Here is a 12,878-nt window from a genome sequence, read left to right on the forward strand (position 1 = left end):
CCATTACCACTGACTTTCAGTTTAAATGAGCTTTCCTAACAGTTTAATGTTTTAGAAAGTGTTTCTATTCATCTTTACTCATACTCAGGAGTGGGTCAGGGAAAGAGAGCTGTTGTGGGGAGATGGCAGGCCAGCGGCAGGAGAAGGAGTGGTGCCTAGGAGGTCTCTTCCTTGTTTAGGCATTGGCCTGACCTCCGTGGTAAGCTCTCTGACCTTGGGCTACTTACTTAACCTCTCAGGCCCTCAGTTTCTGTCTTAAGGAATATCATATAAAACCTACCATCTAGGGTTTTGTTTTGTTTTGTTTTTGTTTTTTAAGAGATGTAAATAAGAAAGGTGTGTTTCCCTTTGCACAGCACCTGGTACTTAGTAAAAGCTGTTATGGGTTAGCCCAGGTATTCCCATATAATCAGTTCCATGATGAATTTTTTGCAAGAGCAAGTAAATTTACCAATATTTCTAAGGTTGCAACATACCTTAGTATCTAAGCCATTCTTTCTATGTGAACTAAATCTTTAGAATTTCATGAGAAAATTAACTTTAAAGTTTGAAAATGTTTTTTAAGTCTGTGAGTAAAGAAATACTTAAAATTATTTTGGTGGTTCTGTTTGACTTCTCATCACTTTTTGGCAACTCTTAATTTTTTTAGGGCAGCCAGGGGAATGTCCTTTCACCTGTTTGACCTGCTTTAGGCTGAGGAAAATGATGGTGAGGGCAGGGGTTTCTTACTGTACAATGTCTGCAGGTAGAGTCAGAATTCTCATCAGGCTGTGATGCTCAGTTGTGTGTAGATTGAAAGCCCTAATTTTACACACAACTGAGGATCATAGCCTGATGGTTCCTTTTTGTTTTACTCTTAAGTCCAAAATACCAGTCAGAGATATTTAAGTGCTTCTGCAAAAACTGTTATTTTATTGACAAAAAATATTTGTACAAAATAGGTTTACTTTATTAAATATTTAGTGCTTTACTACTATGTATAAAGTACTTGTGGAAGAATTCATATGTTTTTACAGATGGAGAAACTTGATGTGGTTTAATAACATTTCCTGTGTTTGCTCTTTACATGGGGTTGGCGGGGGCGAGGAGTAGGAGGAAGGGGAAGTGCTTTTAAAAAAAAAAAAAGTTTCAACATTAAAAATATGAAATAGGCCAGGCATGGTGGCTCACGCCTGTAATCCCAGCATTTTGGGAGGCCAAGGTGGGCGGATCACCTGAGGTCAGGAGTTTGAGACCAGCCTGACTAACATGGTGAAACCCTGTCTCTACTAAAAATACAAAAATTAGCTGGGCATAGTGATGGGAGCCTGTAATCCCAGCTACTCGAGAGGCTGATGCAGGAGAATTGCTTGAACCCAGAAGGCAGAGGCAGTGAGCCGAGATCGCGCCATTGCACTCCAGCCTGGGTGACAGAGCAAGACTCTGTCTCAAAAAAAAAAAAAAAAAACACATAAAATCATACAATAAAAGATGAAAGCCAGGCACCAGAAATTGAATTAGGAATTCAAAGCCTGGGTAGCTAGAGAGGGATGAGGTTTAATTTATCGCATCTCTAAGGGAAGTAATGAGATTTTTCACTGCTTGGCATGTCTGATTGTGGGTTCATATCAGGGTAATTAAGTGGTGACTAACATTTGACATTCTTAGAAACACAAGTCTTATGTCTGTGTTCATCTCTGGTAGATGAAAAACTGGAAGAGAAGATATTTTCAATTGGATGAAAACACAATAGGCTACTTCAAATCTGAACTGGTATGTTGTTACGTCATAAATGTTGCTATAAGAATGTTTGAAAAGTGTTGCAATGTAGTGATTATATATAATTTCTTGTACTGTTCTGTAGTTTCAGAATAAGTCTAGTTTTTAGAGGTAAATATAGTTTATTTGGTTGTGATGCTTTTGGTTAATGATATTTTTCTTAAATACATTTTTAAGTAAAAAGATCCTATCTTCAAAGCAGCATTCCACCTTGAAAGATCTGAAGATCTCAGAATCCTCTAGTCTATAAATTTCCTCTAAAGGGGCTGTCCTCTTGGGGGGTTAGCCCCACGTGGAGTAGGGAGAGAAGGGCATCCACATGGGGAAGGGGTGGTGGCAGAGATGGGAGAATGGTCACATACACAGTGATTTATAAAATCAGGAACTATATTAAGTATAATAGAAGCCAAGTCTTTTCAGAGAAACAATACTTTTTGGTGAATGAATGTATATCTGTATATATGATGAGGAATGAGATATTTACATAGTTTCAAAGTACCTATCTACTAAAATAGGTATTAAGTATTGTACAAGGGGAAAAAGAGTAACATTACAGTGAGGAAAGTGGTGTAAAGAATTCTGTCTGTAAAAGTCAATATTTAACCCTCTGTATTTCTTTCTCTTGAGATTTTCTTTACCTATTTCACATTGACTCATAAATCACTTCACATAAGATGTTTTTATCTTCCCTGAAGGTAGAATCAGAAATTGAAATTCCCTCTTCGCCTTGTTTGAGTTGCATCCTTATTTAAAATATTGTAGGGTGATCTGAGTCCTGAAATAGCTTATTGGAGACATTGAATGCAATTCTGTAGTATAAATGTCTATCCTACGTCTTCTTTTTGTATGGGATCTTTGAGAAGGGAACTTATACTTTGTTTGAATGAAGTCACCAGAACAGCATTGTCCATTAGAACTTTCTGCACAAATGGAAATGTGCCGTATCTGTATTGTCCAAGGGCACTAGCTACATGTAGCTGTTGAGTGCTGGAAATGTGGCTAGTGTGACTGAGGAACTGACTTAATTTCATTTTAATTAATTTATATTTACATCATTACACACAATGGCCACTGTATTGGCCAGCAGAGCACTAGTGTATAGGAAGGGGATATTTTAAGATTCACCTCAGGAGTCAGCTCTTCTGGGAAGCTTTTAGACTCTGGGTTAAGTGTCTTCTCTTTATATGCCCTGTGGTACCCTATGCATACTTGTATCATAATGCTCTTCCCAGAGTTTTGCAATCACGTGCATTCTTGTCTTTGCAACTAAATTAAATGAGCTTCTTAAGGGTAAAGACTCTTGTAGTCTTTTATGATCACAGGGCCTGGCACTTGATAGACAATAAGTGTCTTTGAATGAATGAAAAATGGCATAGCATAGCAAGAAATGCCATTTTAGTATGGGGCTTTCTCAAAGCTTAAGAGCCTCAACTGGAAGTAGTAGTTACTTGGTTCAGAAAGTACCTGCCTTGTTGTCTCAGGAGGCTATCCTTGTGCTTGGTTAGCAGGTTGTCTCATAGATTTTATTTAAAGCCAATACTCCCGGGAAGAGTCATTCATGCAGCAGACATTCATTGAGCTCTCCATGAACCTGGTGCACTGTTCTGGGAACTGAAAATAAAAGAGAATAATTAGCAAAGTTCTCTGGCCTTCAGGAGTTCAGTTTTGGTGGGGAAATTGACGTGTGCCCCCATCATCAACAGTAGTTTTAATAATTAGGAATATTTTTAGTATTTAGAAATTGCAGATAAAGCTGAAAACCTTTAAAGGTCAGTAATTATAACTATACTTAAGTTTTCCTAATTTTACGGAGTATAGTTTATCTCCTATGGTAGTTCTTTGTTCTTCCTCTCAAATTTCACAGAATAATGCCCAGCATACAGGTTTTCAAAACTTAGTATTTCTGTAATAGTTCTTGTTTCAGCTCCCCCTCCCCCAGTTTTAACATTTCTGAAATCTTAGCAGTATGTCTTAGAGTTGCTAAGGACGAGGGGCAGCCAGGCTGCAGCTGTGCTGTAGTTGACTGCTTGCCATATGCACAGTACCTTTGGGTAAAATCCAGAAGACACCGGCATCAGCATGTGCAGAAAAGGGTGCTGGCAGCTTGGGAGGAAATCTCAGGGACACCATGAAACATTCTTAAATACTGCATCACCAACACTCTTTTTGGCACAAAGAATGGCTTGGAGTGAAAAATATGGACATTGGTGGCTCCAAGTCAAAAAGTGATTCAGAAGATCTGGAATCTGAATGTGAAATCTTAAAAACTATAACCAGTTTATCTTGTCTATATTTTTCTTTTTTATATATGCTCAAGAATAATATATGATAAAAATGTTTAAAGTGTAAATGGGCTCTTTTATAAAACCTTTTCATCATGGAAAAGTGTAAACATACCCTTTTAGTAGATAGAAATAATACATGGAACCTGCATATACCCATCACCTAGATGTCATAATTGTTAACACATGGCTCAGCTTGTCTTGTTTCTTCTGTTTCACCACCCACTTCCTGCTTCATATTTTGAGGCAAATCCTAGATGTCTCCCATTTCATCTGTAAATATCTCAGTGTGTATCTCTAAAAGATCATTTAAAAATTTTAAAAATAAGTATAAAAGACTTAAGTGCACAGCCGAAAAATTGGTGAAAATATTTGCAACATGTATTAGAGATAAAACTTACAAGGAATCTTAAAAACTGAGGGGATTTTTCCTCACCTACTTTGCTCTCTTTTCCTTCCATCAATCTGAAATGACTCAGACTCTAATTTATTAGGTGAGGCAAAGCAACATAGGCATCCAAGAGGAACCAGTGTAGCTTTGTGTGGGTGTCAGAGCCCACGCAGGACAAGGAGGCTGTCCTCTTGGGGGGTTAGCCCCACGCGGAGTAGGGAGAGAAGGGCATCCACATGGGGAGGGGTGGTGGCAGAGATGGGAGAATGGTCACATACACACTGATTGATAAAATCAAGAACTATATTAAGGATAATAGAAGCCAAATCTTGTCAGAGAAACAATACTTTTTGGTGAATGGATGTATATCTGTATGTATGATGAGGAATGAAATATTTACATAGTTTCAAAGTACCTGTCTACTAAAATAGGTATTAAGTGTTGTACAAGGGGGAAAAGAATAACATTACAGTGAGGAAACCTGGCAGATACCACTTTACTCAGGTGGTCAGATGATTAAAGTGAATGTCATTGGTAATGAGGTAAATTGAAATCACCTGACAGGATAGTGGAAGACGAAGACAGCATCACTTCTGTGAAATCCCTGCCCAAGGTATGTAATCAGAATCCCATCATGAGGCACACCCAAATGAGGGACATTCTACAAAATAACTACCTTGCAATCTTCATAGAGTGAAGATTATGAAAGTCAAGGAATAATGAGGAACTGTTCCAGACTGAGGGAAAGAAAATATTTGACAAGCAGATGGTATTCGTGCTTCTGAACTGAATTCTTTTGCTCTAATAAAAGACATTTTGGGCACAGTTTTCTGATTCTGATGATTGTATTGTGATTATGTAAGAGAATGTAGGAAAAGTATTCAGGGGTAGTGTGGGACAGGTCAGCAACTCACTCTGAAATGGTTCAGGAAAATCAGTTCTTTATGCTGTATTTTCAATCCTTGTATAAATTCGTGTTTGTTTCAAAGATTAAAAAAAGAGAGAAAATGGAGGGGAAAATACCTGGTAGGCAAATGAACAAAAGACATGAATAGGCAATTCATTTAAAAATTAAAATAGGTCTTAAAATATTTAAAAAAATTCAGCATCACTGATAATTAGAGAAATGCAAATTAAAACTGCAATGAAATATTCTCATCTGTCATGAGAAGGTTGTGGCTGAGTTAAGAGATTGGCAAATCCCCACCCACCCTGCCCAAAAGCAACTGTAAATGCCATTCTGTAAACAAAAGGAATCAGGAACCCTTGGTGATGTGACTGATTTCAGAGCTGGGGCAGATAAAGTACAAGCTGAGCTCAGAAAGTGAAGTTGTGCCAGAGGATAAGGAAGTGGCTCAGAGAATGAATGGAACATGTCAAAAGGACACAGAAATTACCTTGAAGGAGCTGACCAAAATGCAGACAATTTAAACAACAAAATAAGTAATGATAGTAATGGAATATAACCCATAGAATAAAAATGAGTCATAAATAAATAAATGGAGAAGGAAAAATATTTCCTTAGAGTAAAATTCTATTTAATATATGTAGATGGATTGATGGGGTTAGAAAAATCACCATTTGGCAGCCACTAGTAATGGTTTCAGGCAGGAGTTTTCAGGGTTTGATAAAACTAGTTGCAAAATTATGATGGGAAACCTGGTATTACTATAGGTTCCAGGTATCTCCCCACAAGATACTTAACAGTGACAAAGGGAAAAAGTAATTTTACAGCTACTGGCAAACATGACCTTAAGCAACAGATCAGGGTTAACACACCAGTGACAGGACAAGCCACCATCGGGTGTGTACCTCCTAATAGTGGTCCACTGAGAAGAACAGTGTCATGTCTGTGGCTTCCTGTCAAAAGTGTATAAACTGAATCTCAGCACGAATAACAGGCAAACCCAGACTGGGAGGTGTTCTACAAAAATAACTGGCCTGCACTTCTTTAAACTCTGAAAAACGAATGAAGAACTATTCCACAGTTAAAGGCGACATGACAGCTACATACATGGTATGATCCTGGATTTAACTCTGGATCAGAAAATGGTTTTTGTGCTGTAAAGAATACAGGTAGGGCAATTAATGAAATCTGAAGATGGTCTGTAGATTATAGTATTGCATCAGTGTTGAGTTTCCAGTTTTCATAATTGCACTGTGGTTATGCAAGAGCACATCCATGTTTTAGGAAATACACACTGAAGCGTTTAGTAAAGGTACATCATATTTACAACTTAACCTTCAAGCATTTCAGGAATCTATATATATACATATACTCTGTCACACACATATATAAACATAAACAGATAATGATAAAGCAAATGTAAAATATCAACAGTTTAGAAAACAAGGTGTAGGTTATGCAGAAATTCTTTGTACTGTTTTTCTCAGTCTCTTATTAAGTGTGAAATTATTTCAAAATTAAACTATTTTGTAAAACTTTTTAAAAAAGATCTATGATTTTTTTTTTTTTTTTTAAAAAAGCACTCCCAGCTGGGCGTGGTGGCTCACGCCTGTAATCCTAGCATTTTGGGAGGCCAAGGTGGGCAGATCACCAGAGGTCAGGAGTTTGAGACCAGCCTAGCCAACATGGTAAAACCCCATCTCTACTAAAAGTACAAAAATTAGCTGGGCGTGGTGGCAGGCGCCTGTAATTTCAGCTACTTGGGAGGCTGAGGCAGGAGAATTGCCTTGAACCCAGGAGGCGGAGGTTGCAGTGAGCCAAGATCGTACCATTGCACTCTAGCCTGGGCAACAAGAGCGAAACTCCATCTCAAAAAAAAAAAAAACAAAAAAAACAACAACACTCTGTCATGGTTTAGTTTTATTTTTGGTGCTACATAAAGTAATGGTATGTCTTAATCTCACGCTGTCATATTCAATGAAATATGTATATTGTATTTTATGGAATGTATACTAGAAATATGCTATTAGGAACCAGTTTTATATTTGTATCTTATATCTACTTTGTAACCTTGGGTGAGATACTTAACATGTCTAATCTGCAGTTTCAGCACATGAATAGTAGTACATGTGTTGTAGGGTTGGGGAAAGTGTGAGATAAAACATTTAAAAGCTAGCAGATGTCTCAGCACTTAGTAAACATTCAATTTTGTATTTATATAAAAGTGATATTTGTAAAATCACAAATTTAAGTCAAAGAAGCAGGATGTGCACTTGCTCTGCTGCCTTGTATATCAAAGTGACATTCCAGAAAAGGAGATGCTGTGCATACTGGTACGTGGGTCCGTCGGGGAAAGTCTGATGGCTAATAGCTTTTAATTAGTTACACTGCCCTTAAGGCCAGAAATAATGTGAATAAGGGCCGTATGCAGTTTTTCTTGTTTCAAACAACAGTGTATATAAGGTTATAGTGTTTGAGCTATTCAGATGCTGGATGGTTTAAGAAGGTAGATTTATTTCTGAGATGTGCTTCAGAAAAGAAGTGTGATTTTCACATGGGTCTTCAAATAAGACAGCTAACCTTTGAAAGGATTTTAAGAATAAACATCATGTAACTGTTTTTTTTTTTTTTTTTTTTTTGCCAGGAAAAGGAACCTCTTCGTGTAATACCACTTAAAGAGGTTCATAAAGTCCAGGAATGTAAGCAAAGGTAAGGAACCGCTCTGACTTGATGCCTGGCACAAGTTATAAACACAGAATAGTGCCTTAGTTTGAGTAATGTACTTACAGATTACATTTTTCCATATTAATTGTAGTTATTTTTAACTCTTTATAGTTGAGATACACTAGAATTTTCAAAACCCTCAGAGTAAAGTATTGAACTACTTTGTTCATTTGAAAACTAAAAATTAGGAAAGAATCGTTTATTTGTTTCTTTGAAAACTAAAAATACAGAAACAGCTTACTAATGGAAAGGAATAAATTTAATGTGAACAACTTATGGTTAGGCCATCAGATTTGACAAATTGATGTATTAAGTGTTTAAAAGATGCAGTAGAATAGAGCTTCACAAGAAAATGTGTTAGCTGTGACAGTGTTTCACCAAACTGATTACTAAAAACTCTGAACTTTAAAGTTGCTTTGTGAACTTTTTCTAAAAGTGAAACTACATGAAATATGTAAAATCTTACATTAAAATAAATGGGAAAAGATAATTTGGGTTTGCTAAATCAGTGCTTTACCTCATTTATTTATTGACGCATACTGGGTACTGGGTAAACAAATGAAAGAGAAACTCAAACAACTGCTATTTAAGTATAATTGGATTTTTTTTTCATACAGCGACATAATGATGAGGGACAACCTCTTTGAAATTGTAACAACGTCTCGAACTTTCTATGTGCAGGTAAGATGCTTATTTGGCAATTAATAGATCCTCCTAAAAAGAAATTAATAATATTAGAGGTGAAATAAACATAAACAAGCTTGTTGCACTTGAGGTTAAAAAAATATGACAACTGTAATTCACCAGCTTAATAAAAGGGTACTGTATATAGAGTTATTGGTGGGGTTATATGTTCAGGAAGTGGGAGTATTTGTTATGAATTAGTGAACTAGAACTAAGTATTTAGAGAAAGGGAAATGCTTTTAATTTAGATGTTAAGTGTGTACTTTCAAGTTGGATTATTTTTGCACATGTTTTAGAATTTTGATTTTTCTATTATATCATTTTTTGGTAACCTTATTAAAAAAACCCATAGTAAAAGTAGACAGTAGATTTATATAGTTTCACTAATAGTAGGCATCCTGTATTTAAGTTTAAATTGTACTTTTTGCATACTTCATTGAATTATTTAAATGGAAAATTTTAAAAAAAGATTTGGGCCGGCTGTGTTGGCTCACACCTGTAATCCCAGCACTTTGGGAGGCCAAGGCAGGCACATCGCTTGAGTCCAGGAGTTCGAGACCAGCCTGGGCAACATGGCAAAACCCCATCTCTACTAAAAATACAAACATTAGCCAGCCGTGGTGGTGTGCAGGCTTGTAATCCTAGCAACTTGGGAGGCTGAGGCACGAGAATCGCTTGAACCCAGGAGGTGGTTACAGTGAGCTGAGATCGTGTTACTGCACTCCAGCCTGGGTGACAGAGACCCTGTCTCAAAAAAAAAAAAAAAAAAAAAATCAAAAAGGGATGATTTGTTTTTGTTTTATTGAAGTTAAATATGCTTATTCCAGAAAACTTGGAAAATATAGAAAGATTTCAGAAAAATGTGGCTTATAAAACATTCAGTCCCACATTGAGGCAACCATTCTTATGATTTTGCTCCCTTTCTTAAGGTATATATTTTTATAATAGGTGGGGTCATACTAAATATAGTGTTATATCCTATTTGTTTCATATATTGTTATTTTTTTCCCATGTCATTAAAAATTATCTGAAAACCTTTTAGAACTGCACCATACTCCATTGATGTTCCACCAGTAAATTGTGTCTGTATTACTCTGTTGCTGTATTGTGTCTGTGTTACTCTGTTCATGTGCATAGTTTTTGTACATTTACTGTAATAAAATGATGAAAAACATCTTTGTGCATTACTTTGCCTGATTTCTTTAGGGTAAGTTTCTAGATCGAGATTAACTATCAGAGCATGACCCTTTCTATTTTGTCAAATTGATTTCTAGAATTGTATTTCCATTAGTAATGAATGAAGTATACTCTACCTTTGGCTACTTGTATTTTTTTTTTTTTTTAGTCTTTGTTAATATTACTTATTCAAAAATATTCTGCATTTTAAACTTTTTCATATTTCTAGATTCTAGAAGTGTAAGGGATTCTAGAATCTAGAAACAAGAGGCAGTATCTCTGCACCCCGATTGGGGCCTTATTTAATTGGATTAATTTCATAGTAAGGTTTAAAATTCACATTGAAAGCCAGACGTATCTGTCAATACTTATTGTAGGATTTAGGGTACTACTAGAAATTATTTCCAGAAAAATATGTAAAAGAATGTCAGAATTTTTAAAAATTACACAACTACATAAATATTCTTGTAGCAGATTCAGACAGTGTAGCAGTAGGTAGAGTGAAATAAGAAGGGTTTTTCTTGGACTTCCTCCTCTCCTTGTTTTCTGTCTGGAGGTATTCATTATTGACGCCTGTTGATGGGTCTGATCTTGACATTGAAGTGCTCAATTTATGTCTCTGTGTAGTTAAGACCTAGCAAAACCTGGCTTTAAAAAAATGATTTCTAAATTTTTTGGAAACAGTTGCCTTAGAGTGATTTTGTTGATGACAGTATTTTAAGTTATCAAAATAAATACATTGGCTGTATAGAAGTAGGTGATTTTGAGAAAAAATTGTTTGAATGAGTTCTTTTTTCCTTTAGGCTGATAGCCCTGAAGAGATGCACAGTTGGATTAAAGCAGTCTCTGGCGCCATTGTAGCACAGCGGGGTCCCGGCAGATCTGCGTCTTCTGTAGGTTTCCTGCTCTCTGGGGTGATACTCCCTTGCGTCTCCCCCATCCTATCAAATTTCCTCTCTCCCAATCCATCCGGTTTCTTTCTTTCTTGAGATTTATTTGCATGTTGACTTTTATACCAATTGGACTTGCAAAAAATAATGCATTTCTAATTTAATGCTTCCTTGTAGTATTATGTATACATAACTTTCTGTGCATTGTATTGTGTTAAATGCACAAGTAGGGCAACTAAAGAATAAACATTTCCTTGCTTTGTTTTAGGAGTTCTTACTTGTCAGTAGCTCTAGATTTGGCATAATCTGACAGATTCTTAGTATGGTGTGTGATCAGGATCATGTAAGACTTTTAGTTGTAGCGTTACACAGTTTTGTGAACGTCTCAATTTCCTCTTTACTTCCTCTGATTTCAGTTCAGGTTTTTTGGTTTTGTTTTGTTTTTTACCTTTGGCTTAACCATGCCATCAGATCACTGAGCAGCTGGGGCCTTAAATACAGTTCAGTGCTCCCAGTGTTTCCATTTCATGTTTTAATTCTCATTTTAAAACCTGCTTTAACAGCCTGCTTCTGAAAACTACCATAATTATCTTTGTGGTAGTATGATAATAAAATTGAAATACAACTAAACATTCTGCTCAGAAATATTTTTTTAAAAGATTTTTCTTGTGTTCAAGTACATAAGAATTAGATTTGCATTTGGAATACTTTGGCCACTGATCTCAGGTCTGAAAATTTAAAGTATCTTAAAATGTAACACTGCCATCTGCGGAAAGTAGTCTCATATGTAGCATGATAGCCTTTATTATCTAGATTTACTATGACATATATGCTAGTTACTTACACTTTTAATATTTTTTTCTGATAGTATTATAATACCGCCTTTTATTAGTTTTCTGGTAGTGATAACTACAGATAAATAAATAGAAATCAATGTTTCTGATTTCTTAGTTGTTAAGTCATTCTCTCTTTATATCCTTTTTGAAATATCTAAGAAGTCACTTTCATAGATGTTCATTTTGTAACTGCCTGTATTTTATGTGACTTTTTCAGCAGTCAAGTATGAGACTCTCTGCAAAAACAGTGTCTGTTGGGAAGAGGAAAAGTTGGAGAAGGATGTTTGTGTTTTGTGCTTTGTGGTGGGGGCAGATTGGACTATCTAGCTATGACTGTCAGCACAACTTTCTCTTTTCCTCCCTCTACCCAGTATAGGTTAACTCTAATCTTAGCTTTGCACTGTGTTCCAGATGCGGCAGGCCAGAAGGCTGTCGAACCCTTGTATACAGAGGTATACATCAAGAGCTGGTGAATGCAGCACGTATGTGGGCTCTCACGCAAACGTGCCTTCTTAGTGGAGGGCCCAGACTTACTACTTACAACTGATCATAGAAAGTTGAGTTAACCAAACTGCCTTTTGCAGTTATCATAACTGATTTTGTCAATACTAACGCAAACTGTTTCACTGTAGTCATCAGGTTGGATATGTGTATTTAAAAATAAAAAATAAAACATACAACTTTACTAACAGAAAGAGACATTAACATATAAAAATTAATATACTCAACTGCTGCAAGAGTTTCAATTTTATATTATGTATTTAAAAATTTTTAAGATACAATACTTACGAAATGCACCATTGTTCTAATAATATATGCAAACTAATGCATGCATATGCATTGGATAAACTGTACATTACTATAGTTTGCATGGCATTTAAAAATCTCTGAAATTTAGCCATCTAATAGGACTCTGTAGTGTTTTGGTAATTTGTAGCACTTTGATTTCAAAGCCACTGGTATCATAAATGAATATAATATACTAGTATATAGCAATGTATTTAGAATGGTCATATTTAAGGATATTTTCAGATTTGATCTAGTTAGAAGCATATTGAAATTAACATTCTCAACTACTAATTATTTCACCACAGTTTAAAATGTGATAAATGTGTACCCTTTGTTACCTTTAAAATATTAAGCCATATGAATATATGACCTATTCAGAACTAAAATTAAGTAAAAAATGAAAAGACTGTGCTATTATTGGTTGCAGTGAAATTCAGGGAA

At 35.8% G+C, this 12,878-nt stretch overlaps 1 protein-coding gene and 1 non-coding gene across 69 annotated transcripts in view; both read left to right on the forward strand.

Annotated features, from left to right (window-relative positions):
* The window catches only part of PLEKHA1 (pleckstrin homology domain containing A1), a 67,893-nt gene that overhangs the window by 41,509 nt on the left and 13,506 nt on the right, over window positions 1-12,878 (forward strand). For 22 of the 68 annotated variants that reach the window (NR_165162.1, NR_165164.1, NR_165165.1 and 19 more), the window contains 4 exons: window positions 1,684-1,752; window positions 7,983-8,047; window positions 8,680-8,743; window positions 10,726-10,815. Coding sequence is in view for 63 of the 68 variants with exons in the window: in NM_001377235.1 (NP_001364164.1) it covers window positions 1,684-1,752; window positions 7,983-8,047; window positions 8,680-8,743; window positions 10,726-10,815 (288 nt within the window). In the remaining 5 variants the exon portion in view is untranslated. Of the gene's footprint in view, window positions 1-1,683; window positions 1,753-7,982; window positions 8,048-8,679; window positions 8,744-10,725; window positions 10,816-11,865; window positions 11,931-12,041; window positions 12,205-12,878 lie in introns of all 68 variants that reach the window. The other 46 variants (XM_024448108.2, XM_017016478.3, XM_024448109.2 and 43 more) reach the window with 7 other exon arrangements.
* On the forward strand, window positions 749-851 carry MIR3941 (microRNA 3941). The gene has a single exon (NR_037506.1). It is a non-coding gene; the product is annotated as a microRNA 3941 (primary transcript).

This window comes from Homo sapiens, chromosome 10 (assembly GCF_000001405.40).
Source record: "Homo sapiens chromosome 10, GRCh38.p14 Primary Assembly".
Classification (NCBI taxonomy): Eukaryota; Metazoa; Chordata; class Mammalia; order Primates; family Hominidae; genus Homo; species Homo sapiens.